General features: G+C 59.1%; 2 protein-coding genes across 24 annotated transcripts in view, besides 12 other annotated features; one reads left to right on the top strand and one right to left on the bottom strand.

Moving 5' to 3' along the window:
• KCNAB2 (potassium voltage-gated channel subfamily A regulatory beta subunit 2) overlaps window positions 1-22814 on the bottom strand; it is a 108505-nt gene extending 85691 nt beyond the window's left edge. For all 7 annotated transcript variants that reach the window (XM_047432866.1, XM_047432870.1, XM_047432872.1 and 4 more), the window contains exon 1: window positions 22702-22814. The gene's annotated coding sequence lies outside the window, so the exon portion shown is untranslated. The remainder of the gene's footprint in view (window positions 1-22701) is intronic.
• Window positions 2308-2809: an enhancer, noted in NCBI's record as "H3K4me1 hESC enhancer chr1:6072741-6073242 (GRCh37/hg19 assembly coordinates)". NCBI's record gives its function as "activates a minimal SCP1, AML or CMV promoter by ChIP-STARR-seq in naive H9 embryonic stem cells {active_cell/tissue: H9 hESC(naive)}" and the evidence as "EXISTENCE:reporter gene assay evidence [ECO:0000049][PMID:30033119]".
• Window positions 4076-4577: an enhancer, noted in NCBI's record as "H3K4me1 hESC enhancer chr1:6070973-6071474 (GRCh37/hg19 assembly coordinates)". NCBI's record gives its function as "activates a minimal SCP1, AML or CMV promoter by ChIP-STARR-seq in primed H9 embryonic stem cells {active_cell/tissue: H9 hESC(primed)}" and the evidence as "EXISTENCE:reporter gene assay evidence [ECO:0000049][PMID:30033119]".
• Window positions 6288-6880: an enhancer, noted in NCBI's record as "H3K4me1 hESC enhancer chr1:6068670-6069262 (GRCh37/hg19 assembly coordinates)". NCBI's record gives its function as "activates a minimal SCP1, AML or CMV promoter by ChIP-STARR-seq in naive H9 embryonic stem cells {active_cell/tissue: H9 hESC(naive)}" and the evidence as "EXISTENCE:reporter gene assay evidence [ECO:0000049][PMID:30033119]".
• Window positions 11932-12646: an enhancer, noted in NCBI's record as "H3K4me1 hESC enhancer chr1:6062904-6063618 (GRCh37/hg19 assembly coordinates)". NCBI's record gives its function as "activates a minimal SCP1, AML or CMV promoter by ChIP-STARR-seq in naive H9 embryonic stem cells {active_cell/tissue: H9 hESC(naive)}" and the evidence as "EXISTENCE:reporter gene assay evidence [ECO:0000049][PMID:30033119]".
• Window positions 14790-15504: an enhancer, noted in NCBI's record as "H3K4me1 hESC enhancer chr1:6060046-6060760 (GRCh37/hg19 assembly coordinates)". NCBI's record gives its function as "activates a minimal SCP1, AML or CMV promoter by ChIP-STARR-seq in primed H9 embryonic stem cells {active_cell/tissue: H9 hESC(primed)}" and the evidence as "EXISTENCE:reporter gene assay evidence [ECO:0000049][PMID:30033119]".
• Window positions 15505-16219: an enhancer, noted in NCBI's record as "H3K4me1 hESC enhancer chr1:6059331-6060045 (GRCh37/hg19 assembly coordinates)". NCBI's record gives its function as "activates a minimal SCP1, AML or CMV promoter by ChIP-STARR-seq in primed H9 embryonic stem cells {active_cell/tissue: H9 hESC(primed)}" and the evidence as "EXISTENCE:reporter gene assay evidence [ECO:0000049][PMID:30033119]".
• Window positions 21716-21765: an enhancer, noted in NCBI's record as "active region_70". NCBI's record gives its function as "activates an Ori minimal core promoter by ATAC-STARR-seq in GM12878 lymphoblastoid cells {active_cell/tissue: GM12878}" and the evidence as "EXISTENCE:reporter gene assay evidence [ECO:0000049][PMID:35858748]".
• Window positions 22516-22765: a silencer, noted in NCBI's record as "silent region_136". NCBI's record gives its function as "represses an Ori minimal core promoter by ATAC-STARR-seq in GM12878 lymphoblastoid cells {active_cell/tissue: GM12878}" and the evidence as "EXISTENCE:reporter gene assay evidence [ECO:0000049][PMID:35858748]".
• Window positions 22846-23025: a silencer, noted in NCBI's record as "silent region_135". NCBI's record gives its function as "represses an Ori minimal core promoter by ATAC-STARR-seq in GM12878 lymphoblastoid cells {active_cell/tissue: GM12878}" and the evidence as "EXISTENCE:reporter gene assay evidence [ECO:0000049][PMID:35858748]".
• NPHP4 (nephrocystin 4) overlaps window positions 23065-24512 on the top strand; it is a 129615-nt gene continuing 128167 nt past the window's right edge. For 7 of the 17 annotated variants that reach the window (XM_047417590.1, XM_011541217.3, XM_047417589.1 and 4 more), the window contains exon 1: window positions 23566-24149. The gene's annotated coding sequence lies outside the window, so the exon portion shown is untranslated. Of the gene's footprint in view, window positions 23247-23565; window positions 24150-24512 lie in introns of those variants that run through there. The other 10 variants (NR_111987.2, NM_001291594.2, XM_017000999.2 and 7 more) reach the window with 3 other exon arrangements.
• Window positions 23066-23235: a silencer, noted in NCBI's record as "silent region_134". NCBI's record gives its function as "represses an Ori minimal core promoter by ATAC-STARR-seq in GM12878 lymphoblastoid cells {active_cell/tissue: GM12878}" and the evidence as "EXISTENCE:reporter gene assay evidence [ECO:0000049][PMID:35858748]".
• Window positions 23386-23565: a silencer, noted in NCBI's record as "silent region_133". NCBI's record gives its function as "represses an Ori minimal core promoter by ATAC-STARR-seq in GM12878 lymphoblastoid cells {active_cell/tissue: GM12878}" and the evidence as "EXISTENCE:reporter gene assay evidence [ECO:0000049][PMID:35858748]".
• Window positions 23642-24496: an enhancer, noted in NCBI's record as "H3K27ac-H3K4me1 hESC enhancer chr1:6051054-6051908 (GRCh37/hg19 assembly coordinates)". NCBI's record gives its function as "activates a minimal SCP1, AML or CMV promoter by ChIP-STARR-seq in naive H9 embryonic stem cells {active_cell/tissue: H9 hESC(naive)}" and the evidence as "EXISTENCE:reporter gene assay evidence [ECO:0000049][PMID:30033119]".

The raw sequence follows: 24512 nt of genomic DNA, 5'->3' as shown, positions 1-24512 counted from the left end.
GATTACGATTACTCAACTCTGGGTGCAAAAGCAGCAAATATGTAAATGAAGGGCGTGGCTGTGTTCCAATAAAACCTTATTTACAAAAACAAACGGTGGGCCTGATCTGGCCCCTGGGCCATAATTTGCAGACCTCTGACACATTAAAAAAGGAAGGTGAGGCCAGGCACAGGGGCTCACGCCTGTAATCTGAGCACTTTGGGAGGCCGAGGTGGGTGGATCACCGGAGGTCAAGAGTTCGAAATCAGCCTGGCCAACATGATGAAACCGTCTCTACTAAAAATACAAAAAGTAGCTGGGCATGGTGGCGGGCACCTGTAGTCCTGGCTACTTGGTAGGCTGAGGCAGGAGAATCACTTGAACCTGGGAGGTGGAAGTTGTGGTGAGCTGAGATCCCGCCACTGCACTCCAGCCTGGGTGACAGAGTGAGACTCCATCTCAAAAAACAAAAAAAAAAAAAAAAAAAAAAAAAAGGAAGGTGACCCCGTCTGTAATAAAATTAAGGCAAAAGTGCAAATCCTCTTGCTGTGTACAGCACATGCTGTCCTGCTCCTCTGGGGGCTGGAGCCCCACATGGGTCCAAGCCACAGCCCTGCCCTTCTGTGGGGACACTCTGAGTCTGGAAGGGGGAACTCCTTCAGGTCAAAGAGGAAACTTCTGGCCAAGTGGTTCCCATGCTGCCTGCGAGCCTAGCCTCTGACCTCACTGCCTGGCGAGGGTGACGGGAGGAGGAGAGGATGCCAGAGACCTTTGGGTGCCCTGTGTGTCCCCTCAGTGCTACCTTCCCTGCTGGTAACTGTGACTTCTCATCAGATCGCAGGCATCAGGTTCATCTTCTCTGGAGTAAACACCATCAAGGCATCCTCGCAGCCCTCTCTGTGGTGCTGCTTGCCGGCAGAGAGCCGAGGACAGCTGGCCGAGCCACGCAGGCTGCTGTCTCTAATGCCACACTATTTTTGGTGACTCTTTTGCCTCATTTATTTTTGATTTGAGTTGCTCATACAGACTGTGTGTTCTTTCTCCCTCCTGCACTGAAATGAAATAAGCGTAGTATTTTTAAACCTCACTTGTGTTACTTCATGATTAGCACAGATAAACACTGTCCGACGTGGTGCTGCGTGGCCTCTGGCTTCAGCCCTGGGCTTCACGTGAAACTGGCCTGCTCCTGGATGTGGGCCTCATTCTTGCGGACACCAAGTCCTACGCTGAAGCTGGACATTGGATGGCGGGGGTCCAGGGACATCCAGGAAGTGCCCTCCCAGTACAGTGGGTGCAGGAGAAGGACACCCATCTGAGCAGCAGCCCTGGGCTGTATTAATGTGTGGGCAGCGATGTCAGAGCTGCTGGCGACCCAGTGCAGTCTGAATGAGGCCTCGGGATAAGGGCTTTCCCGTGCGTTCATTCAGCGTAATTTTTGCCCCATAATCCTATGAGGTTAGTACTATGTTTTAGGCACAAATGACAGCTGAGAAAACTGAGGCTTGGAGAGGTAAAGCTGGCCTGCCTTGGTCACCTGGTGAGTGGCAGTTCTGGGAGTCCACCCTCTAAAGCACAGTCTTGTTCTATGGCCAGCAGAGAAGTCCAGAGACAAATACGGGAACAGCCAAAGGCCTCCTCGTAGGGTGAGCTGAGTGGTGCTTCTCAAGATCACTGAGAACCGACTGCTGGGGGGGCCCGGGCAGCAGCAGGGGGTGGGTGTCGTCAGGAGTCTCCGAGGCAATGCAGGTGTGAGCTGGGGCCACCTGGGCAAGGGCGGGGAGACAGAGGTGACCAGTGGCTGGCAATCCAAGAGGCTGAGACCGCAGGGTCTTCGGACAGATGCGGGGTGTAGGGGGAAGACAGGGGTGCAGGTGGCTCCTGGGTTTCCAGAGGTGAGTGGTCAGTTTCTGAAACAGGGGAGTTGTGGGTGCAGTGGTGTGGGGGAGCCCTGGAGCCAGTGGCGGCTGTGTCTGACCTCAGATGCTGGTCGGGCATCCACGTGGGGAGGCTGGTGCTGTCCTCTGACAGGGCTCCTCCCCAGCCCTGGATTGCGTGGTTGTTTCTTTTGTGCCCAGGGCCTTTGCAGACTCAGATCCCTCTACCTGGGATGCTGTTCCTTGGGGTTCCTGCTCAAATTTCATCTCTTCGGAGAGGCTGCTCCAGAGAGCTCTGAGCGTCACAAGTGTGTCTTCTGCCAAGCGCCTACCCCAGCCTGTGTGACTGTTCACCTGACTGGCCCCAGCGGGACACTGAGGGCAGGGGGTGGGTCTGTCTCGTTTCCTGCTGAATCCCTCATGCCCGGAACAGGAACTGACACCTCATTGGTGCCCAGCACGCTTTTGATGAACGCACGAAGGTGTCTCAGCCCGCTCTGAACAAGCAGCTTTCTGCTTATAGATAACACAGATGCCAGCATGAGGCTGAAGCCAAGCAGAGCAGTGGGAAGTGGAGCGATGGGAGGTCATGTTCTGCTGCTCCTCTTAGGGCGACAGAGGGTGCCCTGCAGCTGCAGCAGTCTCCTCCAAGGGGATCCACAGTGGGAGAGGGCAGCCTGCACAGGCCCAGGCTTATATCCCTGACCGAGAGGATGCCTGGCTCACAGGGCGTGTGTGGAGAGCCAGGCATCTCATGGGCATGCGTGCATGGGTGAGCACCTGCACAGAAACACACACACAGCTCACGACCACCACTGCTGTCACCTCCACCTCTACCATGATCTCTGCCCCTCCATCTCAATCATCTCTATCTCTGTCACCATCACCTCCTCCTCCCCCATCACCTCCACCATGACCTCTACCCTCTCCACCTTCATCACCTCCACCACTACCTCCATCTCCACCTCCACCTTCATCACCTCCACCACAACCTCCATCTCCACCTCCACCCACCACCTCCGCCTTCATCACCTCCACCTCCGCCTTCATCACCTCCACCACTGCCTCCATCTCCACCTCCACCCACCACCTCCGCCTTCATCACCTCCACCACTACCTCCATCTCCACCTCCACCCACCTCCGCCTTCATCACCTCCACCTCCGCCTTCATCACCTCCACCACTACCTCCATCTCCACCTCCACCCACCACCTCCGCCTTCATCACCTCCACCTCCGCCTTCATCACCTCCACCACTACCTCCATCTCCACCTCCACCCACCTCCGCCTTCATCACCTCCACCACTACCTCCATCTCCACCTCCACCCACCACCTCTGCCTTCATCACCTCCACCACTGCCTCCATCTCCACCTCCACCCACCACCTCCGCCTTCATCACCTCCACCTCCACCCATCACCTCCGCCTTCATCACCTCCACCATTACCTCCATCTCCACCTCCACCCACCACCTCCACCTTCATCACCTCCACTTCCACCCGTCACCTCCACCTTCATCACCTCCACCCATCATCTCTACTTTCATCACCTCCACCTTCATCACCTCCACCTTCATCACCTCCACCCACCACCTCCACTTTCACCTCCATCACCTCCACCTCTACCACCACCATGGCCTCTGCCCCCTCTGCCTTCATCACCTCCACCTCCACCATCCTAGGCCAGCTCATTGTCCTCTGAGCACTACTGCTTTCAGCTTCTCTGGGAATCTTCCCCTAGCAACCTTCCGGGGGGCAATTCTGCTGCTCTCCAAGCTGCAGTTCTCACCTCCACAGGCAAGGGCCCCACAGGTGCCCCTTCAGCCCACCCCCCTGCCCTGGGCTCCAGGTGTTGGCTCCATCCACGCGGATATCCCTGGAACTCTCCCTCTCGCCCACCTCCACCACTTGCCTTGGAAGCTCCTGCCTGGACCATGGTTGTCAACCTGCCACCAGAGCCCCGTTTCTATTTCTCAACAGCAGATCTTTTCATGCCATGCTTTTCTCAAAAGCCCTTCGTGGAGGTCCAGGGCTGTCAGCATGACGTCCAAGTGCCTCAGCTCGGCATCCAGAGCCATTCACAGCCTCTCCTGTCTACCTTTCCATCCTTCAACCCCCTCTGCCCCTGCACATCTGCCTGCCTCTCCTCCTGCACACCTGGCCCTGGGCACACGTGCCTGCCTCTCTCCCACACACCTGGCCCTGGGCACAGCTGCCTGCCTCGCCTCCCGCACACCTGGCCCTGGGCACAGCTGCCTGCCTCGCCTCCCGCACACCTGGCCCTGGGCACAGCCGCCTGCCTGTCTCCCGCACACTTGGCCCTGGGCACAGCCGCCTGCCTGTCTCCCGCACACCTGGCCCTGGGCACAGCTGCCTGCCTCGCCTCCTGCACACTTGGCCCTGGGCACAGCTGCCTGCCTGTTTCCCTCCTGCTCCTGTGCACGTGGCAGCTCCTGTCCTCACTCCTGCTGCTCCCTCAGAGCAATGCTGCATCTCCCCATCTGCTGGGGACTTCATCTGCCTCAGGGGCCAATGTGTGGCTGAGTCCCAGGTCTGAACGGGTCACCCACACTATTTGCAGTGGTCGTCCTGGTGGTGGGCAACAGCAGGTAGAGAGTTGCACTTTCCATTTCTACCACCTCTATCATCTGTGTCTTCTAAATGATGTGGCTAAAGTCACACAATTCTAAGGAGGAAAGAGCTGGGGCAGGCTGCTCGCCTGCAGAGCCAGGACTGTCCATGCACCTCCTGCCACTCATTCGCCGCTTCCACGATGATTTCTGGGGAAGAGCGCCCTCATGGCTTTCAAGTTAAATCTTCAACACTCGAGGGCCAGCCCAGCTCCCGGGCCACTACCTTCCCAGGAAAGACCCTCCCTGCCCATCCAGCCTGCCCATCAGCTAAGGGGAAGATGGGGCGGCCCACCCCACCCTGGGCTTCCCCATTTCCTGTGTTCACCTGAGCAGGGACGAGGAGGGACTCCTCAGCCCTTGACAACATGGAGGGCTGTGAACTAAAGGAACTGGGGGTGACCGGAGCAGGGAGGGGCCAGGGGCACTCTCTTCAATCCCCAGACACAGCTGTGGCTCATCCAGGGCTGTTCAGAGCAAGGCCTGTGCTGCCTTGAGACAGCCTTGGCCACACTTGAGACAGGCCTTGAAGTTAATATTGATCCACTTATTTTTCCAGTTACTTTTTATTTTTTTAAGGGCCGGAGGTCTTGCTATGTTGCCCAGGTTGAACTTGAACTCTCGGGTTCAAGAGATCCTCCTGCCTCAGCCTCGAAAGCAGATGGGACTACAGGTGTGAGCCACCATGCCTGCCTCCAGTTACCTTTTATTGATGACAAGTAATGCTGGTTCTTTATTGCAGGGACATCAAGTTTCAGTTTAAAATAAGCTTATTTAAGAAATAAGTTTAACTAACTAAAAAGGAAATGCAAGCTAAGAAATGGCACATATGACTGGACACGGTGGCTCACACCTGTAATGCCAGCACTTTGGGAGGCTGAGGCGGGTGGATCACTTGGGGCCAGGAGTTTGAGACCAGCCTGGCCAACGTGGTGAAACCGAAACCCCTTCTCTACTAAAAATACAAAAATTAGCTGGGTGTGGTGATGTGTGCCTGTAATCCCAGCTACACCAGAGGCCGAGGCAGGAGAATCGCCTGAGCCTGGGAGTTGGAGGTTGCAGTGAGATAAGATTGCGCCACTGCATTCCAGCCTGGGCGGCAGAGTGAGACCCTGTCGGAAAAAAAAAAAAAAAGAAAAAAAGAAAAGAAATAGCACAGATGACCCAAATCATGAGATGAAAGGCCAATGACTAAAGTGTGGGAAACACCTGCTAAAGACATAGAGAGACAGAGAGGGAACACCGGGGGTCAGAGAGCACTCCGATAGAAACCGCAGGGCCTCACAGGGCCCCACTGCCTCATCCCCCAACTCCTCGAAGGCGTGTTGCCTTCACAGTGGAACCGCAGGGCAGAAAGCGAATTCCAGATCATGCTGCAGTTCTTTTTCCCTTTAAAACTAATTTGACACCCTTTTGTGAAGTGTGTCAGAGTTCCTCCCATTACAGGAAGTTGATCAAGAGAAGCCAGGGAGAGAACAGAATCAGGCTGGACAGTGTGTTCCAGGCCAGTCCTGGCAAGAGGCTTTGATGGGGTCTAGACAGGGGACGTGCATCTGAAGGTGTGTGTGCAGGTGTGTGCATACACATATGCACACGTGTGCACACATACACGCACACGGACACCACCGGGCCCCCTCCACCCGTTAGCCAGCCTGCTTATGGTCTGCTGCCTGCTCATGTACCCAGCGATCTGCTGGGGAGAGGCCACACTCTGCACAGGTGGATGCCCCCATGGGCATACCAGGCGGGCCTCCTGCCGCTCTGGAAAGCAGATACTCCAAGGGATAGGTGCAGAGCAAGGCCCAGCACCCCTACAGAGGGCGGGGTGGCCAGGGGGACTTGGAGAGCTGCATAGTGGTGCTGGGTGACCCTAGCTCATGTCCCGAGATGAGAATGTCCAGTCAGGGACCACTTCAAACAGAGGCTCAGAGCGTGGCCTGCAGCTCCTGGGGGAGAAGGGTTGGACTGTGGGGTGCAGTGCACCCAGGGGCACTTTTGCTTTGCTCTTTCTGGCCTGGACGTGTCCAATTTCCCTGCTTTACAGCTTTCACTGAGGCTGCTCCCAGAGGAATGGGCAGGGCTGCTCTGGGGTCTCACTCTCCGCCCAGGCCAGAGGCTTCAGACATCTCCTCACTCAGGCCCAAGGCCTGAGGTTCCCACGGAAACAAGTCCCCCAGGTGACCTCTCCCCATGTGGCGCAGGAGGTCACAGCATGAGACCCCAGGGGCCTGGGACAGAGCTCTGGGGTGGTGGTTCGGGGGCCTCACTCCCTCAGCCACTTCCCTGATCACAGCCTTGTTTTCATCATCTGCTGCAGTTCTGTTGATACCAGGAGCATTTCTCAGCCCATGTTGGTGTCCTGAGTGATCCTTTTTTTTTTTTTTTGAGACAGTCTCGCTCCGTCTCCAGGCTGGAGTGCAGCGGTGCAATCTTGGTTCATTGCAACTTCCACCACGCCACCCGGGTTCAAGCAATTCTCTTGCTTCAGCCTCCCGAGTAGCTGGGATTACAGGTGCACGCCATCATGCCTGGGTAATTTTTGTATTTTTAGTAGAGACGGGGTTTCACCGTGTTGGCCAGGCTGGTCTCGAACTCCTGACCTCAGGTGATCCGCCCACCTTGGCCTACCAAAGTGCTGGGATTACAGGCGTGAACCACCGTGCCTGGCTCTGAGTGATTCTTAAAGAGGATGAACAGAGGAACGAGGGAAGCCTGTCCTGGATGCTGGCTGCTCTTGGGCATGCAAGCCACTGTCAGGGTGATGGGGGGGCGGGTCCTTTCTGCCATGGGGGACCCAGCGCAGCGGAACCGGACTTGGCTCACCATCTGCCTCGTGAAATCCAAGCCCTGCCCTTCGCAACATGGAGAAAACAATCTGTGGGTCTTAATGGCCCAGCTCCAGGTTCGCCTCCCCATTGGTGCAGGTGAGGGGATGCCTGATGAAGTAGTGCTCCTGGCCCTCACTCATCAGCTCCCTCAGAGGGAGCCATGTCAAACCAGACAGCTCCAGGCAGCATCTGCAGGCCACTTTGAACTGAGGGGAGCCAGACCCCACCACTGCCCCTGCCTCAGCGTCTCCAGCCCCTCTCAGGGCTGCGGCTGCAGCTGCCTCTACCTGGCTGCAGTGCCAGGGAGAGAAGGAGCCTCTGCATCTGTTGGGCTCATCAGTGAGGGCCAAGGGAAGCGGCGGGCACAGGGACGGGAGGGGAGGTTCCAGGTTCTCTTGGCCATCCCCTCCTTCGGGGGTAAGGGCAACAGTGACGCGCACACACTGCGGCGCCCAGCTTCTCCCACTCCTTTCCAAGCATCCACAGTAAAAGGAGATAAAGGAAATGCTGAGTCTCCTCTCAGAGCCAGATTGAAATTTTAAGTGAGCCAAGGTAGGAAAATCACACAGGGGGATGGGGCCACAGCAAGAACCACTTCCGGATGATGACTGCGTTTCAGAGCCTGACTCAGCACGGCGCGGGGCGCAGAGGAGGCGCGGAGGAGGCGCAGAGGTGGCGCGGCTCCCCACGGATGGAGCCGCTCTGCCTCCGGCTCTGGCTCCAAGCTGCTGCCTCGGCTTCCTGGGCAGAGGGGGTGGGTTTTAACTTCTTAAATCCCAGGATGGGAGAAGGAAGAAGAGGCCAGTGTCCTGGTGTATACCAGATGAGCAATTTCAGAGAGATCATTGCTTTACATGGGGTGGCCACGCTGGCATTTAAGTGGTCTCTTGGCCACTTGGCCCTGTCCCTGGGTGTGGCTGGGGTCCCCACCTCTCTGGAGCCTGGCACAAACTCACACCCAGGAGCTGAGCCCCCCCCATGCAGTGACTGGGCAGGGAGGCCCGGGCAGTAACTATCTGGGGAGTGGTGGCGCTCCCAGCTCGCCTGGCTGATATGAGTCTCTATGGCAGCCTCGGAGAGGTCGGACTGTCCGCCACAGGGACAGAAAGCGCTGACTCTCGGCCAGCCCTGAGCAGAGACACTCTGGACACTGAGTCCAGCCAGGGCCCGCTGCTGGGCTTAAGCACAGTGCCCAGCACAGAATAAGGCGAACTGTTTACCGTCCTTCCCCAGAACCCAGTGCTCATCTTACACAGGCTGCTGTCTGATCCCTCGACAACAGCTCTTATCATTGTATTTTAGGTGGGTTTCAATCACGGCCCTTGGAAGAAGTTGAGGGGAAAGATTGGTTCCACTTGCACAGGGGAACTCAGAGCCCAGAGGAGGGATGTGGTCAGGTAGCGCTTCTGACAGAGCACTGAGGGGTGAGGGTGGAGTAGGGGAATGTGGGAGCTGAGCTGAGGAGTGAGGGTGAAGTGGGGGATGTGGGAGCTGAGCTGAGGGGTGGAGGGTGAAGTGGGGGATGTGGGACCTGAGCTGAGGGGTGAGGGTGGAGTGGGGGGATGTGGGAGCTGAGCTGAGGGGTGAGGGTGAAGTGGGGGGATGTGGGAGCTGAGCTGAGGGGTAGGGGAGGAGTGGGTGATGTGGGAGCTGAGCTGAGGGGTGGGAGTGGAGTGGGGCTGAGGGGTGAGGGTGCAGTGGGGGGACGTGGGAGCTGAGCTGAGGGGTGAGGGTGGAGTGGGAAATGTAGGAGCTGAATTGAGGGGTGAGGGTGGAGTGGGGGGATGTGGGAGCTGAGCTGAGGGGTGGGGGTGGAGTGGGGGGACGTGGGAGCTGAGCTGAGGGGTGAGGGTGGAGTGGGAAATGTAGGAGCTGAGCTGAGGGGTGAGGGTGGAGTGGGGGGATGTGGGAGCTGAGCTGAGGGGTGAGGGTGGAGTGGGAAATGTAGGAGCTGAGCTGAGGGGTGAGGGTGGAGTGGGAAATGTAGGAGCTGAGCTGAGGGGTGAGGGTGGAGTGGGGGGATGTGGGAGCTGAGCTGAGGGGTGAGGGTGGAGTGGGGGGACGTGGGAGCTGAGCTGAGGGGTGAGGGTGGAGTGGGAAATGTAGGAGCTGAGCTGAGGGGTGAGGGTGGAGTGGGGGGATGTGGGAGCTGAGCTGAGGGGTGAGGGTGGAGTGGGAAATGTAGGAGCTGAGCTGAGGGGTGAGGGTGGAGTGGGAAATGTAGGAGCTGAGCTGAGGGGTGAGGGTGGAGTGGGGGGATGTGGGAGCTGAGCTGAGGGGTGAGGGTGGAATGGATCAGAACATCAGAACAGAGCCCCAGGGTGCCAGCCCTGGGACCTCCCTCCAGTCACAGCACCCGTGGTCCCTGCCAGGGGAAACTCCGGCCGGCATCCTGGGCAGGGAGACCCCCATCTGCCCCAATGGGAGGCTGTGCCCTGTCTCCCCACGTGGGGGCCCTGCATCCTCACAGTGACCGCTGGGAAAAGACAGACCTGGGCTTCCGTGCCTCCCCGGGCCACTAAACCCATCTCTCTGAGCCAGGAGGGTGTGCTGCCTTCCAACTACAAATACACCAGCAGGAGGGGAGAGAGGGGACCCAGGTTGGATCCCACTCCTACTCATGGGGGGTAGGGGGGACCCTCAGTCGGCTCCAGGTCCACAGGCTGGCTTCCTACCAGGTGTGCTCCAAGGCCCTCAGCTGGGCTGCCACGTCCCCGCCTCCACCCTCACCCCTCAGCTCAGCTCACACAACCCACAACTCCACCCCCACCCCTCAGCTCAGCTCCCACATCCCCCAGTTCACCCTCACTCCTCAGCTCAGCTCCCACATCCCCCCACTCTACCCTCACCCCTCAGCTCAGCTTCCATGTCCCCCACTCTACCCTCACCCCTCAGCTCAGATCCCACATCCCCCAACTCCACCCCCACCCCTCAGCTCAGCTCACACGTCCCCCTACTCCACCCTCACCCCTCAGCTCAGCTCCCACATCCCCCCACTCTACCCTCACCCCTCAGCTCAGCTCCCACGTCCCCCCACTGCACCCTCACCCCTCAGCTCAGCTCCCACATCCCCCCACTCTACCCTCACCCCTCAGCTCAGCTTCCATGTCCCCCACTCTACCCTCACCCCTCAGCTCAGCCCCCGCGTCCCCCTACTCCACCCTCACCCCTTAGCTCAGCTCCCAGATCTCTGCCTGCACCCTCATCCCTCAGCTCAGCTCCCACATCCCCCCACTCCACCCTCACCCCTCAGCCAGCAACACTTGTATGCAATCCCTACAGAGGGAAGGAACTGTCTGATGAGGAAGAAGCAGCCAGACTCTGGAGGGAGACGGGGCTGGAGGTGGGACTCGGGGGTAGAAACCTATTGTGTGGGGTGGACTGTGTTCCCTGAAAGATCCACCCAAGTCATAATCCCAGTTACCTGTCGATGTGGAATTATTTGGCAAAAGGGTTTTTGCAGATGTAATTAAGGTGGAAATCCTGCGATGAGGCCATCCTGGATTAGGATGGGCCCTAAATCCAATGACAAGTGTCCATATAAAAAGAGGAGACAGACACAGAAAAGGCCATGTGGCGATGGGGGCAGAATCTCGGGGGGGTGTTTCTACAAGCCAAGGAACACTACGGGCAGCCACCAGGAACCAGGAGCGAGGCCTGGAACACATGCTACCTCGGTCTCCAGAGGGAACCAACCCTGCCCACACCTTGCCTTCTGGCTTCCTGATCCATGAGAGAATAAATAATGCTGTTTCAAGCCACCCTGCTTGTGGTACTAGGAAACAAATGCACCCCCTAGGCTTAAAAACCCTCTAACCAAGCTGGGTGCAGCAATGCCCATCTGCAGTCCCAGCTACTTGGGAGGCCAAGGCGGGAGGATCACTTGAGCCCAGGAGTTTCAGACCAGACTCGGTAACACAGCAAGATCGTGTCTCTTAAAAAAAAAAAAAAACCCTCTAACCAGAGCAGGTTCTATGAGAAGCAGACAAACAACCTTCTTTTGTGGGAAGTGACCTCTTTACTAGGGGTCTGGACCCTGGTGGGCCCCAGCCCTGCTTCTGCTCCAACCTCGAGGCTGAAATGTCTGCAGCCCTCTCTGTATTTGCGTTTGTGATCCAGGCACTGGGGGCTCCTCCCTGCTCTCCGGGGGACTGTAAGAATAAATAACAAATGGCTTCAAAGAGGATTACCGTCCCATGACCACGTGACAGGGCATGAACGATTAACATCTTGCCAGGCAGCGCTGCGGCAGCAATTTGAAAGGCAGCTTTACTCCACCACATCCATTAAAGGCCCCGCTGAATAAAAAGAGATGCAGAAGCGACCGCTGCAAGCTGGGGCCAGCCATGCCTCTGCAATCACATAGCCAGCAGACAAAAACATTTTTAAATGAAAATACTCATTGCTGGCGAGGTTGCGGTGAAACGACGACGAGGAGACGTGGCTGGTTCTGGGACATGAGCTATATACTACGACCTTTTTGAAATTGGGTAGTAGAGGTCCAGAGCTTGGGGTCCAGGAATCCTACCTCTGTGACTTTATCCTAATAGTTCAAGAGAGGAAATAAAGCGAGATGCACACAAACGTTTCCCACAGCCTGATTCGGAAGAGTGAAGAGCTGCCGGATCTCCCAGGAAATAATGTTTAAGTGAACTATAGACAAACGGGAGGGTATAATGTGGCCACTCAGTGAGTGCTCCTGGCTGGGGCAGGGCTCGCGCTAAGAGTGGAGAAGGTGGACGGTGCCTGCGTGTCTGCAGGGGCTGAAGGCAGCCGAGCGAGCGAGTGGGGAGGAACCCCTGCTCCACACCACACGGACCCTGCCTCTGACCCCATGACCCTGCTCTGGTGGGGAGGATCTGTGTGTGGGAAGCAGGGAAAGCAAGTTCCAGGGGTGGGATGGGGAATCCCGCAGGAGGCTCCGGCCACCCGGGCTTGTAGCACAGGCTCTGGAGCCCCTGCAGCCAGCAGGGGCCAGGCTGCTGGGGCTGTGCGCTGGCCTCGCCCCCATGTGGTTTCCCTTTACCTGGCACCCTGGTGACTGTGGCTCAGGAGCGAGGCCAAGGGCGAGCGCCCGCCCCGTGAACGGGTCGCCTGGGGCGCAGGATCAGGCGTCTGCTGCGGTCATGTTCTAGCTCTGTCCTCTGGTAGCTGTGTGACCTGAGACAAGGTCTAGGACCTGTTCTCACCCGGGACACAGAGACGGGAGGAGCTGAGGACTAAGAACAAATGTGTGGAGGGGACGAAGCAGGGGGCCAGAGCCAGAGCAAATCTGCAACACAGGGCAGCTGCCAACTCAAAGGACAACAGTGACGGCAGAGTCCTTGACACTGCTGTCAGCGTCGTCCAGAGTCGGGTGAAGCGCCTGCCTCCTCTTCCTGCAGGGGGGCAGCCGCTCTCAGCTGTCCAGCCCCTCCCAGTACCTCCCAGTCCTGGCAGGGCCGTAGCCCTTCAGCTCCCCTGGAAATCCACTCAAGGGACCTTGGCCTTCTCTGCCTGCCACCTGGGAACACCTGATGGGGACGTGCTGGGATGGTTTCTGCAGTTCAAAGGATTTACCTCCACATAATTAAGTGCCTCGTTTGTAAAAACACAAGCTGTGTCCTCATCGGTGGTGTGGGCATCACGTACGGTTCAGGGGCTGGGACAGAGCCCTCAGTACAGATGACAGGCATCAGGGAGTCTGTGGCCATCAGCCACCGATGCCAGCTCAGGCCACAGCTGCCGTGGCAGGCACCTGGCTTTGTCTCAACCTCAGCTGCAGGAGGTGCATCCCCGCCTCCTGCCAGCTCTGGCTGAGTGCCAGGCCCCAGAGGCCACGGCTGTCTCTGGCCTCCCTTGGGCACTGCCTGTTGTTCAGGGTGCTCAGAGCAGGATTGTATCTGGCGGGGAAGACCCCTTGGGGAGGATCCCTTGGTGTCACAGTTGGCCTCCGTTGGGCCAGGAGCCCTCTGGTCCTCCCTGGTTCTGAAGGCTTCTCTCTGCCTGCCACGGCCAGGGGAGATGAAATCAGGGAGCCAGTGCTGGGGACGATGTTTGCTGGCCTGTAGGAAGCTTAGGCTTGGTTCCAAGGCCTCATGACATGGCCGGGGCATTACCAGTCAGGCTGAGCTGGGGGACAGAGGTGATGGGGACAGCAGGCATGTTCTGTCCTCACGAGGCCCACAGTCTAGGCAGGGACAGATGTCAGCAGTCATGACCACTGCAGGGCATGCTTGGAGAGACTACAGGACATCGAGGGGGCTCAGTCAGAGAGCTGCACCATGATCCCGGCTCTGTCAAGGATGAGTCATCTGGCCTCAGTTTCCCTGTCTATAAAATGAGGAGTCTGGGCTGCACAGTGTCAAAGACTCAGAGAACCTAGAGGGGCTTTCTGAGGCCGCTGGCTCCAGGAGCCTAGGACCCAGTCCTACCACCATGTGAGCAACACTGCCCCACACTGGATCATTTCTCTGTGTGTTCCGGGCTGCGTTAGAGACCAGGAATTCCGCCAAGCCTGGGGACAGGTGTTATCCTGTCCCCTCCAGAGCCTGGGGGGAAGCGTCCCCTGACCTGAGGTGCCACCTCTCCTGCTGCTCACACAGACTGCTCTTCAGAGACCCACCCCCATGGGTGTATCACGGGGCTCAGCCAGGCCCTCAGCACCCATACAGCCCAGCAGGTGGCCAGGCCACTCCAACAACCGGTGATCATGATTATCAGGTTGCTAGAGGGTTGGGGAGACCCTCTCCTAGGCATCCCTCCCAGTGGCACCCCCGGAGGCTTAGCCAGAACCTTCCGGCCCTGGGTGAGGCAGAGAATGAGGGCTGGTGGCACAGGCTCTGTGTGTCTGTGTGTGTGTTGGGAGAGTGTGTGTGTGTGTGTGTGTGTGTGTGTGTGTGTGGTGATCACATGCAGCTGGAGCAGCTCAGGGCTCCAAGAGCACCAAGGGCTCAGGGTAGGGCCTGGGGCCTCCAGGTCGCAGAGGGACCCTGTTCAGCTTCCCTCCACCCAGGCCAGATGAATGGCCCAGCTCAGCAGCACAGAGGAAGCAGGAGGCCTCCGTGAAAGATGTTCCGGCCTCCAAGGTCCCTCCTTACCTGCCCTTGTCCCTCTCCCTGCAGTGCCCTGACACCCCATGCTGTCTCTGCGCCTTTGGACCCCACTCTCCCTGCCTGTGAGGCCACAGCCATCCAGTGCTTCCCCCTTTCCTGACGATGTGAGATGGACGCTGTCAATGCTTTGGTGTGATGCTTTGGTGGTGGCCTGAGTGACGCCTTGGTGCCCTGGACCATACACCTCCTCCCGCTCTGATGTTGGCCCTGAGGGCAGCGACCTTATCCTGGCTCCCGATTCATGAGTTAATGAGGAGCAAGTGACATTCCCCAGACCCTGGTCTCACTGTAGCACTGCCCTGGAGAGGGCTGTCTGTGCTGGCGTCACCAGGACCCCCAGGTGCTACTTCAGATTCCAACGGCCTATAGGCTTCATGTAAACAGGCCCCTTTCTCCCAGGGATATCACTGTTTTCTTTTTTTTTTTTTTCTTTTCTGGGAAGCCCCCATTCAGGGTCTGTTGATAACTGTCACTCACACCAGCAGAGCGGCGGGGGGTGGGGTTCACTCCTCACAGGAGCGGGCTCGCCTGCCCCAGTGGCCTCCCCAGACCCATCTTTTGGGATGGAGAGAGAGCATGGCAGCTCCCCGGAGCCTCTGAAGTGCCCCAGCACAGGGTGGCTGATGTCCCCTGGACACCCCCACTGCCTTGTAAGCACGAAGGATGTAAATAAGGAGGCATCCACTACTCCTTCAAGGAGCAAAGCACCCTGTGTCCCTGCGGAACGGGGAGGTTTTGAGTTGGGATTTACAAGTCCTGTTTTGGGCATCCTGTTTCCTTTGTAGGAGCAAAGGGACAACATGGCTCCGGGCCTTGTGTCTGTGACACCTGAATACCTCCTGGTCTGGGTGACTAAAAATACCTGCTACTCATTTCCATGGAAAGGCAATACCCTCTAGGGGGTGCGGGGGGCTGGCTGAGCAGAGGCGGGAGGCGCTGCAGGATCTATCTAGACAGACAGGGCACAGGTAGGGCGTGCAGAGGGCCCAGATGGGGCACAGACAGAGTGCAGGCAGGGTGTGGACGGGGCACAGACAAGGTGCAGACGGGGCACGGACGGCGCAGACAGGGTGCAGAGAGGGTGCAGACAGCAGAGCAGGATATGGATGGGGTGCAGGCAGGGTGCGGACGGGGCACAGACAGGGCGCAGGCGGGATGCGGACGGGGCACAGACAGGGCACAGACGACACAGACAGGGTGCGGAGAGGGCGCAGATGGCGCAGGCAGGGTACGGATGGGGCGCACATGGGGTACAGACAGGGCGCAGGCAGGGTGCAGACACGGTGCAGATGGGGTACAATCAGGGCACAGGCAGGTGACAGACTCTGTATGGTCAGGAACAGGGTGGCGAGGACTGGCTCCTGTACTGACCCCTGGCCTCCTCTGCCGTGGGCAAGCACTCGGGCCATCAGTACCCCTGAACCAAACCACATTCCAAGAGGCCTGGACACTAACAAGGCGCCCTGCCACACACGGGAGGATGAAAGCACATCTCAGATTTGAAGCTCACAAAAGTGCAGCAGGTCATTCCAGTAGAATGTGGGCTTCACATGTTCCCAAGAATTACAGAAACCCCCGCAAAGCCCTTCTCGCCGGAGCTTTCAACCATCACAAACAGCTTCCTCGTGTGCTTCCTTAAGAAGTAGAGGTGGGCAGGTTCACTGACAGACTGAAACGGCTAGGGCTAGGGAGTGTTTCTCAAAGCATGTTCTTGGAACCCCTGATCTGAGTCACCAGGGACTGGTGGCCAAGGAGCTTGCTAAGCTGCACCAGGACCCCTGAGGGCTGGGCAGGTGCCACACCCTACAAGCCTGCTGGGCACACCGATATCTCAGGACCCTCGGCCCACCCAGGCCCCAAGACTCCACAATTCTTACACAGAACGTAAAGCACTACGCAGCCAACCTATGCAGGGCAACCAACAAGGCTAAGCCCCAGCCCGCAGTTCACGGGTGTCCCCAGAAATGCCCCCCATTAAGGCAGGAAATGGAAGAATGCGCCGTTGAAATCGTCTCTAAAGGGGCGGACGAAAGAGGGTGCTGCTGGCAGTTGCGGTTAAGCAGCAAAGCGGCTTCGTCTACGCCCGCCAGCCCCGGAGCCACCCTGTGCCCTCACCTTCCTTTTCCTCCTTTCACGGTCAAATCTCTCCAGAGCCATTGGCGGCAAAGTCCAAAGGTCACCAGGGTGGGACTCTGGCTTGGGGTCCTGGCTCCTGCGCCTAGTAGCTTGGAGGCCTTAGGGAAGCCACTTTGACTTTCAGTGTTTCTGCCTCAGTCAGATGGGTATAAGTTGGTTGGCGAGTGCTTGGAAGCTGGTGGTGCTGAATCTGGGGTCCTGCGCCCCCTCGCTGCTCCTGGGAGCCCAGCTCTGCTTCCCCTCTCAACAGAGGCTGCCTCCTTGGCAGCAGCTGGCCCACCGGATGCAGCAGATACCTGCCTCATCCTCTATTTTCCTCTCCTCCCCGGGCTCTGGAAGAATCCAGGGTTCCCTACTGTCTGTCTTGACCTTCATCTTCCCTCTCAAACCCGTACCCTTGGCGACCCTTGGCACTACCCCCAGGTGACACTGTCAGGGCTGTGACCAGTAGGTAGGTGGCAGTCACCTCCAGGTCCCACCTCTCCTGTGAACCCCAGCCCTACCTTCTCAATGTCAGTGGGCACTGCTGTCCAAGACACAGACCTCGAAACCCAAGGTCAACCGAGCCCAGTCCTCCCCATCCAGAGGCCCCGATTCTGGCTCTGCCTCTTTCAGTCTGTGCAGCCCAGGTGGACCCAGCCAGAAAAGCTTGGGGGGCTCCAGGGCTCTCCTCTTCCCTCCCTCCCCATCACTGTCCAGCCCATGGTGGCCTTGGCCCTGATGCCCTCCCCTAGTTATCCTATTCACCCATATTCATGCCCTAGCCTGTGACCGCACTGGGCCTCTGGCCATCATCCAGCCTGCCTGGTCCTCCCTCTGTGACCTTGCCCATGCAGAGCCCTTTTCCAGACCATCCTTTCCTAGCTCTGCCTATCACAACCTGCCTGTCTTTCAAGGTCCAGGTCAAATGTCCCCACTGCCCCCGTCTCTCCTTCCCTATCAGCAGGGTTTTCTCTGACCATTCCAGGCATGTGGTCACTGCATCCCTTTCCTGGGTCTCAGCCCTAGAGGAGGGAGGTGGGTCTTGCTCATTCTTGGTCCTTCAAATGTCTGCTGCTAAGACCTTCGCCCTTCACTGGCATGTATAGGTTTTAAGCAATGTTTTAAATTTAAATTTGTTTTATAATGAATAGATCGAGCTGAATCTCCTTGCCCATGCATTCTAGTTATTCCTTACCCTCCTGCATCTGGGAGGGGTGGCAAGAATATCACTTTCAGAGAGCCCCTGCCACGGCTGAGTGTTTGGGATCACAGGGCTCCGAGGCAGAATTCTAGAGTCTTCTGTCCTAGGCTGCATTGAGAGCCTGTGGATACCAGGGCCTGAGATTGCAATGAAAGATCATGAAGCTGCCCGGGGGTGGAAAATGAAAACACATTCATGGTGAAGGAGGGGGAGCATGCTCAGAGCATGGCTCTGCAACCCACTCGGTGCCCAGGGGCTGCTGGAATCAGACAGACAGGTGGGCAGGTGTGCAGTGGGGGTCTGGCAGGCTTGCAGGCCCTCCACGAGGCCCAAGGTCAGGGAGAATAGGGCAAGGAGTGTCCCTCCCTCAGAGGGAGGCTATTCCCTGCAGACCAGGGCAACGGGCTCTCCCCTCCTGCCCTCTCTTCCCCTTCCTTCCCTCCATCCTTCTCCACTGTGAAATCACTCAGCAGGGCTCTCCAGCTGAGAGACTGCCAAGAGGTCCCAGGAAACCACGCAGAAGGAAAGCCAGGTTCCTCTGCTCCGGTTTTCCTGGGGGCTCCGTTGGGCTGCCCAGGAACCACCTGAGCTCCAGGCAGGATGGTGGCTGGGGCGCCTCGTCCGACTGGAAGAGGGGGAACTGACAGTTATCCAGCACCCACTGTGTGCCAGGGAAGCCCCAGGCTCCTACCATTGAGGCACCAGTTCACCCATTCAGATAGAGGGAGACACGAATGATCCGTGTGGCTTAGCAGGCCAGAGAGCCAGAGACTCAGAGAGCTAAGTCTCTGGCAGGGAAACAGCCCAGGCTGGTGACTCAGGACCCCTGCGGACCAGACCTCAGGGGTCTACAGGACCCAGGAAGTTGCTCCAGAAAACTGGCCCACGTGGAATGGGTTGAATCTGGTGCGGGGTCTGAGAAGAAACCTGTGCCCAGCTCCCAGCCATGGAGTTGGATGATAGATCTCGGCTGCTCGGCAGTCAGGGCTCAAGATCACAGCCAGGAAAGCCTTCTCACTGGGTCCAGGTAAAGGCGGACGGCCAGGAAGGTGGTCCCCACCATTTCTCCACTTTTCCCCTTTTCCCAATCCTGTTTTGTCTACAACCAGCATGGCGTCAAAGCAGTTAGCTCTGTGGGTACCTGTGTGCTGGAGAAGTGGAGGAGGCTGCCTGCAAGGAGACAGGTGCCGGGGAAGCCGGCAGGGTGGGCATGGGGTTGCTCTGTCACTGAAGACACGCAGAACCTGGGTCTCTGGGGCTAACCATGTGGTCACTGCGCAGAGCAGGGAGTAGCCTCCTGAGACGCTGGCCAGCAGGGGTCTGAGTGGAAACCTGGGTGTGGCAGTGGCAGGGCACCCTCAGGCAGGGAGGGGCCTGAGCCCAGGGCTCATCCCATGGTGGGTGTGCAGGAAGAGGGAGGCTGGCCTTCATCTGAGTTCCCCAGGATGTGGCAGAGGACAAGAGGGCCCAGCATCTGCTCAGGCCCATGAGACAGGGAGTCTCACGCATCTGCCAAGCCCAGGCAGGCAGGAAAGCCTCGAGCCAGTGGGCAGTGACAGGACGAAGCCCAGGTGTGCCACCCCATCTCCCCCAGTGTGCTCTCTCCTGGGGAAGAGGGTCCTGTTCCCTTTGCCTCCTCGGGACTGGCTGAGCGGAGATGGTGTATCCCTTAATAGACTCACCCGAAGATAGACCAGGAGGGGCCTGAACATGGCGGGTCACCCGTCACCAAGGAAAGAGCAGTGTGGGGCTTCCCACGCCACGACAAAGGAGTGCTTCCATATCCCCCAGGGTCTGGGCCTGGGCCTCCAGGGCCTCTTGGGAGACTCACTCCTGCAGAGGTGAGGATTTCAGGCATTCGATGGAGCTCAGGTGATGGCGGAGGGGGCACCTCTCACAGAGTTCTGGCAGGGCAGGAACAGAATCAAGGTTTCCTCACTAGCTGGGAGGCCAGGATCAGTTTCACTGCTGCTCTGTGCCTCAGTTTCCCTATCCAGCCTCCCTCACAGGGTTGTTTACAAGTGCCGGAGGCGAACTGAGGTCATGAGTGTAGTTCCAGTGTGGGGAGGGTCCCTCCTTTCCTTCATCCCACCACGGACCTGGTGCCCTCACTCTTCTCTAACTATGGGGCCATCTCTTTGAAGGCCACGAACAACAGTACCCTTGCACCAGGGCCTGCATGCCAGGCAGGACTGAGTCGCTGAGAAATCTCCATGGTAGTGGCACCTCCCAGTCCCAAAAGCCCCTCCAGTGACCTGGACACACCCAAGGGCACTGGCTGCGCCCATGAATGTCAGCAATGCCTCCAAGTGGCCTTCTGAAGGGACAGCCGGTCATGTCCTCGGGGTGCTGGCTTCCCCCAGCTCGGACAGCCAAGGCATGAACTGGGCTCAAATAAGTAGGAAGTAGGGGGTCCAACCCAGCTCCGTCACTGCCTCTGTTGACCCTGGAGAAGCCTGTCCTTCCGTTTAGTCCTCTGAGAGCAAGGATGACCGGCTGCTGGGTGCCAAGACCCAAGTCCTCCTGGTGGTGGGAGGGGGACTGGCGGGAACATGGGGTCTATGGCCCTAGACACCTCTGGCATCAATCCTTCTCGAATTGCCGCCCCGAGCTGCCCACTGTCCTGCCTCCTTATTCAGGGACGCCAGGAAAACATTCACTCTGGGACCTCTGGCGGCGTGAATATCACTGAGAACTTAGCCGAGGACCAGACACATACCGCACCTGGCCAGAGTCCCTGGAAACAGAAGCACGGTCCCCTGGTTCTCGCGAGGGAGCAGGCTCTCCTTCCACACAGATGATGTGTTCCCAGTTACCACGGCAGAGCACCAACACACAGGAAGGTCTAGGGGAGGCCCCTCCCTCCAAGCCCAGGCCGGAAACTGCCAAATCAAAACTGTGTGGCACTCGCTTCCTCCTGAACCATTTGGGTCTTAGAAGATGACTGAAAAATGAAAGCGAGGAAGCCTTCTCTAGCTGGCCAGCCCATGGCACCCTCGGCCTTTCCAGCTCTCTAGCGCCATGGCCCACGTCCCACCTCCCGGGTGCAATGGCTTCTGTGCACACTGCTTCCCATCCAGGCTCCAAATCCAGACCCAAGACGGTTCTCAACCAAGAAACACACGAAAAGGGTTTCACACTTTTTCACGACACCCCCCAACTCCAGTGCCTGGCTCAGCCCCCAGGTGTTGACTAGCACCTACAAAGCATTTGCTGACTGGCGCAGGGAAAAAAAAAATGGCCCTGGGTGTCAACAGGGAAGCCCCTACCATGCTGCTCTCGAGGGATGTGCTGCGGCCCGAACACTGTCAGTGCCACTGAGGCCGAGTGTGGCCGTGGAGACAATGACAGGACCTGGAGGACCAAGTGCACTCTTAGGGCCCCACACTGCGAGAGCACAGGGCCAGGAGCTGCACAGGGCTCTGCAGCAGACACGGCCGCCAGGCGAGAATCAGGTGGGCAGATGTGACTCTCCACACGTAGGTCCCCAAACCCTGCAACCTGCAACGCGGGGCCTGAATGCGGCTTCCTTAGCAGAGCAGGAGCTTACTCTTGGCACTGGGGGAAAGGGGAGGGGTGAGGCTGGGGTTTTTGTCGGGGAGGAGAAGTTGCAGAGAAAGAAAAAATCCTGAAACGACAGACAGTGGGACAGCTGTGGCCTGAACTTGGTGTTCTTGCTCCTCGGATGTGGATGTATTAATTTCCATAAATGCTAATAGCCCACTTCCCCAAGAGCTATTACTTATGTCATCTCCCCTTGGACACAGTTCAACACAGGGCAGACAAATGAAAGGGAGGAAAAGACAACCCCCAGTGGCGGTCCCCAGCTCCTCAGCCCCCTCCCAACCAGGCAGCTCAGGTCTGGTTCCTAAGGTGGCCCTGCTAACCGCAGGGTCAAGACCCCTGCCTTCAGCTCCGTAGCCAGGTCCCTATCACGACAGGAAGCAAGAAAGTTACCAACCCCAAAAATGCTGAATCACAAAGTGAGGCTGAGCAGGAAAGTGGGGGTGGGGAGGGAAGGAGACGGTGGCCAGGGAGGAAAGGTGCTAAGGGGCTTTCCACCTGGAGCACCCCGGGATGCTGCGGGCAAAGCACAGTCCCTGTAAGAGCCCCCAGGACAAATGCCAGGAGGAGGGACACCAGGATGCGGCTGGTTGGCGGGGTGGGAAGGTGGGCAGGTACCCCGGCTGCTGCTAATGCCGCAGGACGCGGTGCAGCAGTGGGGTCTTTGCATCCTGGGAGCAGCAGCAGGTAGGGAGGTGCGGAAGTGCTTTGTGCCAAGGCCTGGCAGGAGGGAGAAGCTTAAGATAGGAGTAGGGGCTCAGGGTCAGAAGTGGCGGTGTGTGTGCTGTAAACAGCCCGAGGAACTGGTGCAGGAAGCAGGGTCACAGTCTTGGGGAGCAGGGTAAGGTGGTGAGAGCGTGCCCGCGGGGAGAGGTCGGAGGGGCTGGGGGCAGAATGGGAGGGTGGGGAAAGGGACCGGAGCGACACAGGGACAGGCAGCGAGAACGACGGATGAGCCTTGAGAAGCGATCAGGAGGAGAGATGGGGAGGACCGGGAACAGCAGCGCCCCGGTGGGGCTGCGCAGAGGCCGGGAGAGGGGATGAGAGGAGGATGGAGGAAAGGGGAGGGCGAGGCTGCTAGGACCGGAGCGGGCAGAGATGGGGAAGAGGTGCACCGGGAAGAGGGACGGCGGCAGGGGCAGGGGTCAGGGATGCGAGCTGAAGGGTCGGGCGGGCGGGAGGACAGGGAAGGAAAGACAGAAAGGGATGGGGGAAGGGAGACGATGGAGAAGGAGGTGAGGAGGCTGGAGAGGAGGTGAGACAGCGGCGGAGGCAGGGACGCAGGGCCGGGGAAGAAGAGATGGAGACGGGACCGCGGCGCCTGCCGCAGCGCGGGCCTCGCGGATACCCGCCGCCGCCGTCCCGGAGCAGCTTGGTGGAAAGCGCGCCCCGCCGGGGTCTCCCCGGTACTCACCTGGGGGCTCCAGCTCCGGATCCTGTGCCCCGCGCCGGATCTTCCTTCCCGCCCTGCCCCTGCGACTTTAGCGCCCCCGAATCCCGCTAGCTCCTGCAGGTTCCGCCAGCAGCATCTTCACCTCGTGGGACGCCCGGGGCCACGCCTCTTCCAGCTTCTGATTGGCTATTGTTCACGCCAGTCACATTACCATTGGTTGAGGGGTCGTCGGACATGCAAATCAGGATGGGCCCGCCGCCGCACCGATTGGCTGGCGCTCGCAAAGCGCAGCCCTCGACTTGGGCTCTGATTGGCTCCGCGGCCCTGACGGCGACAGTGACGCGAGGCGGGTTCTTGGACTGAGTGTGCGGCGCGGTGCGCCGCCTTCCGAGGCTCCTCCCGCGGGTGGCAGCGGACGGGGCGCGCCCCTCGGCCAGTCCTCGGTCCTCAGGCTTGTGGCTCCGTTGAGCACCGGCCGCCGGGCCTCTGGGTCCGTCGAGTGGAGACTCTCTGAAAAGCGTGGGCTCCGTGGCCTCCGGCGCGGCCGCGGCGGGTCGGTCTCCTAGGTAACGCGGCCCGCGGCGGGCGGAACCATGTGGGCCGGCGCCGCGGGGGAGGTTGGACGCGGCCTCGAGGCACAGGGGGCCTCAGTGTTGGCCAGAGCCTCGGGGTTCGGGGGTAGGGTGGTCCACGCCGTCCCTGCGTGGGGGCCCGGTGCCTGGGGTGCGGCGGTGGCGCGCGGCGGGGGCTGTCCCCGCGTTAGTCGCAGGCGTCCCCCCTCGTCGGGACACTTGGGGTCGGGGCCGCTGGGTGCCGTTTGGCTACGTGGGTTCCTTTCTGCCCTTGCCCTTTGCCCCCTGCCCCCTGCCCCCTGCCCCCTGCCCCCTGGCCTCTCTGCAGCCCCTCGGCTGAAGGGAGCGCGGTACCGATGTTCTGGGCCTTGGCTCCCCGCGCCCTAGTCCGCGCGCATCCTTCCCAGGCCGGAGTCCGCGGACCCCGCCTGGCCGCGCCCCTCCGCCCCTCCTCCCCGCCCCCCGGCTCCAGCTCCGGCTCCGGCTGTCAGTTCCCCGCGGTGGCTCTGCGGCCTTCGGGCGTCCCTGCGAGGCTTTGTACCCGGCGCCGTCCCGGCCTTCTGCGCCCCTTTCCTGCCTTGGAACCTCCCGGCCGACCCGGCCCGGAAGGCGCCACCCGCTCCCGCGTGCCCTTCCCCACGCGTGCAGGCTGCTCCCGCCCGCCCCCGGGCTTGCAGGCACCTCGCTGCCCGAGATTCCTCGTGTCTAACTTCTTAGGAGACCGCTGCTTTCTGCCTCCGTGTGTCGCGATGTGTGGCTTTGGTGGACGTCTGTGAAGGAAATCCAGCCTCTCGCGTGTGTAGTTGGCAAAAGGAGGAGTATTTCTGTTGATGGTGGGCAGCGCCTCCCGGTCCTAACCCAGGGCTCCGTTCGTTGCACCTCCTCTGTGCAGTTTCCGTAGGTCACACTTGTGTCTTTTTGTATGCTAATTTGTGCCCCGTTTCTTTACATTCTATGGGGGTAGCGAGCTTGTCTGCTGTGTTCAAGACCGTTTCTCCCGGGCGCAGGGTAGGTGCTGAAAGAATGCTCATGAATGAGGGAATTCCAGGCAGTGCTTAATCAGACCTCTGCTTCCCCAAAAGCTCCCCAAGGCATCTGGGTCTCAGGCATTACACATTTTCCATTCCGGGAAGGAGGCTTCCCGGACCCTGACAGCGCCTCCCACCCCCTGCATCTTCCTTCAGCCCTGCTCACCTCTGCACCCTCCCGGGGGCCTGTTGCTGCTCACAGTCACTTTCTTGTCTTTCTCCCCCACTGGCT

The sequence above is a fragment of the Homo sapiens genome, chromosome 1 (assembly GCF_000001405.40).
Source record: "Homo sapiens chromosome 1, GRCh38.p14 Primary Assembly".
Lineage (NCBI taxonomy): Eukaryota > Metazoa > Chordata > Mammalia > Primates > Hominidae > Homo > Homo sapiens.
Note: the sequence above shows the minus strand (reverse complement) of the source record. Positions and strands in the feature narration are given on the sequence as shown.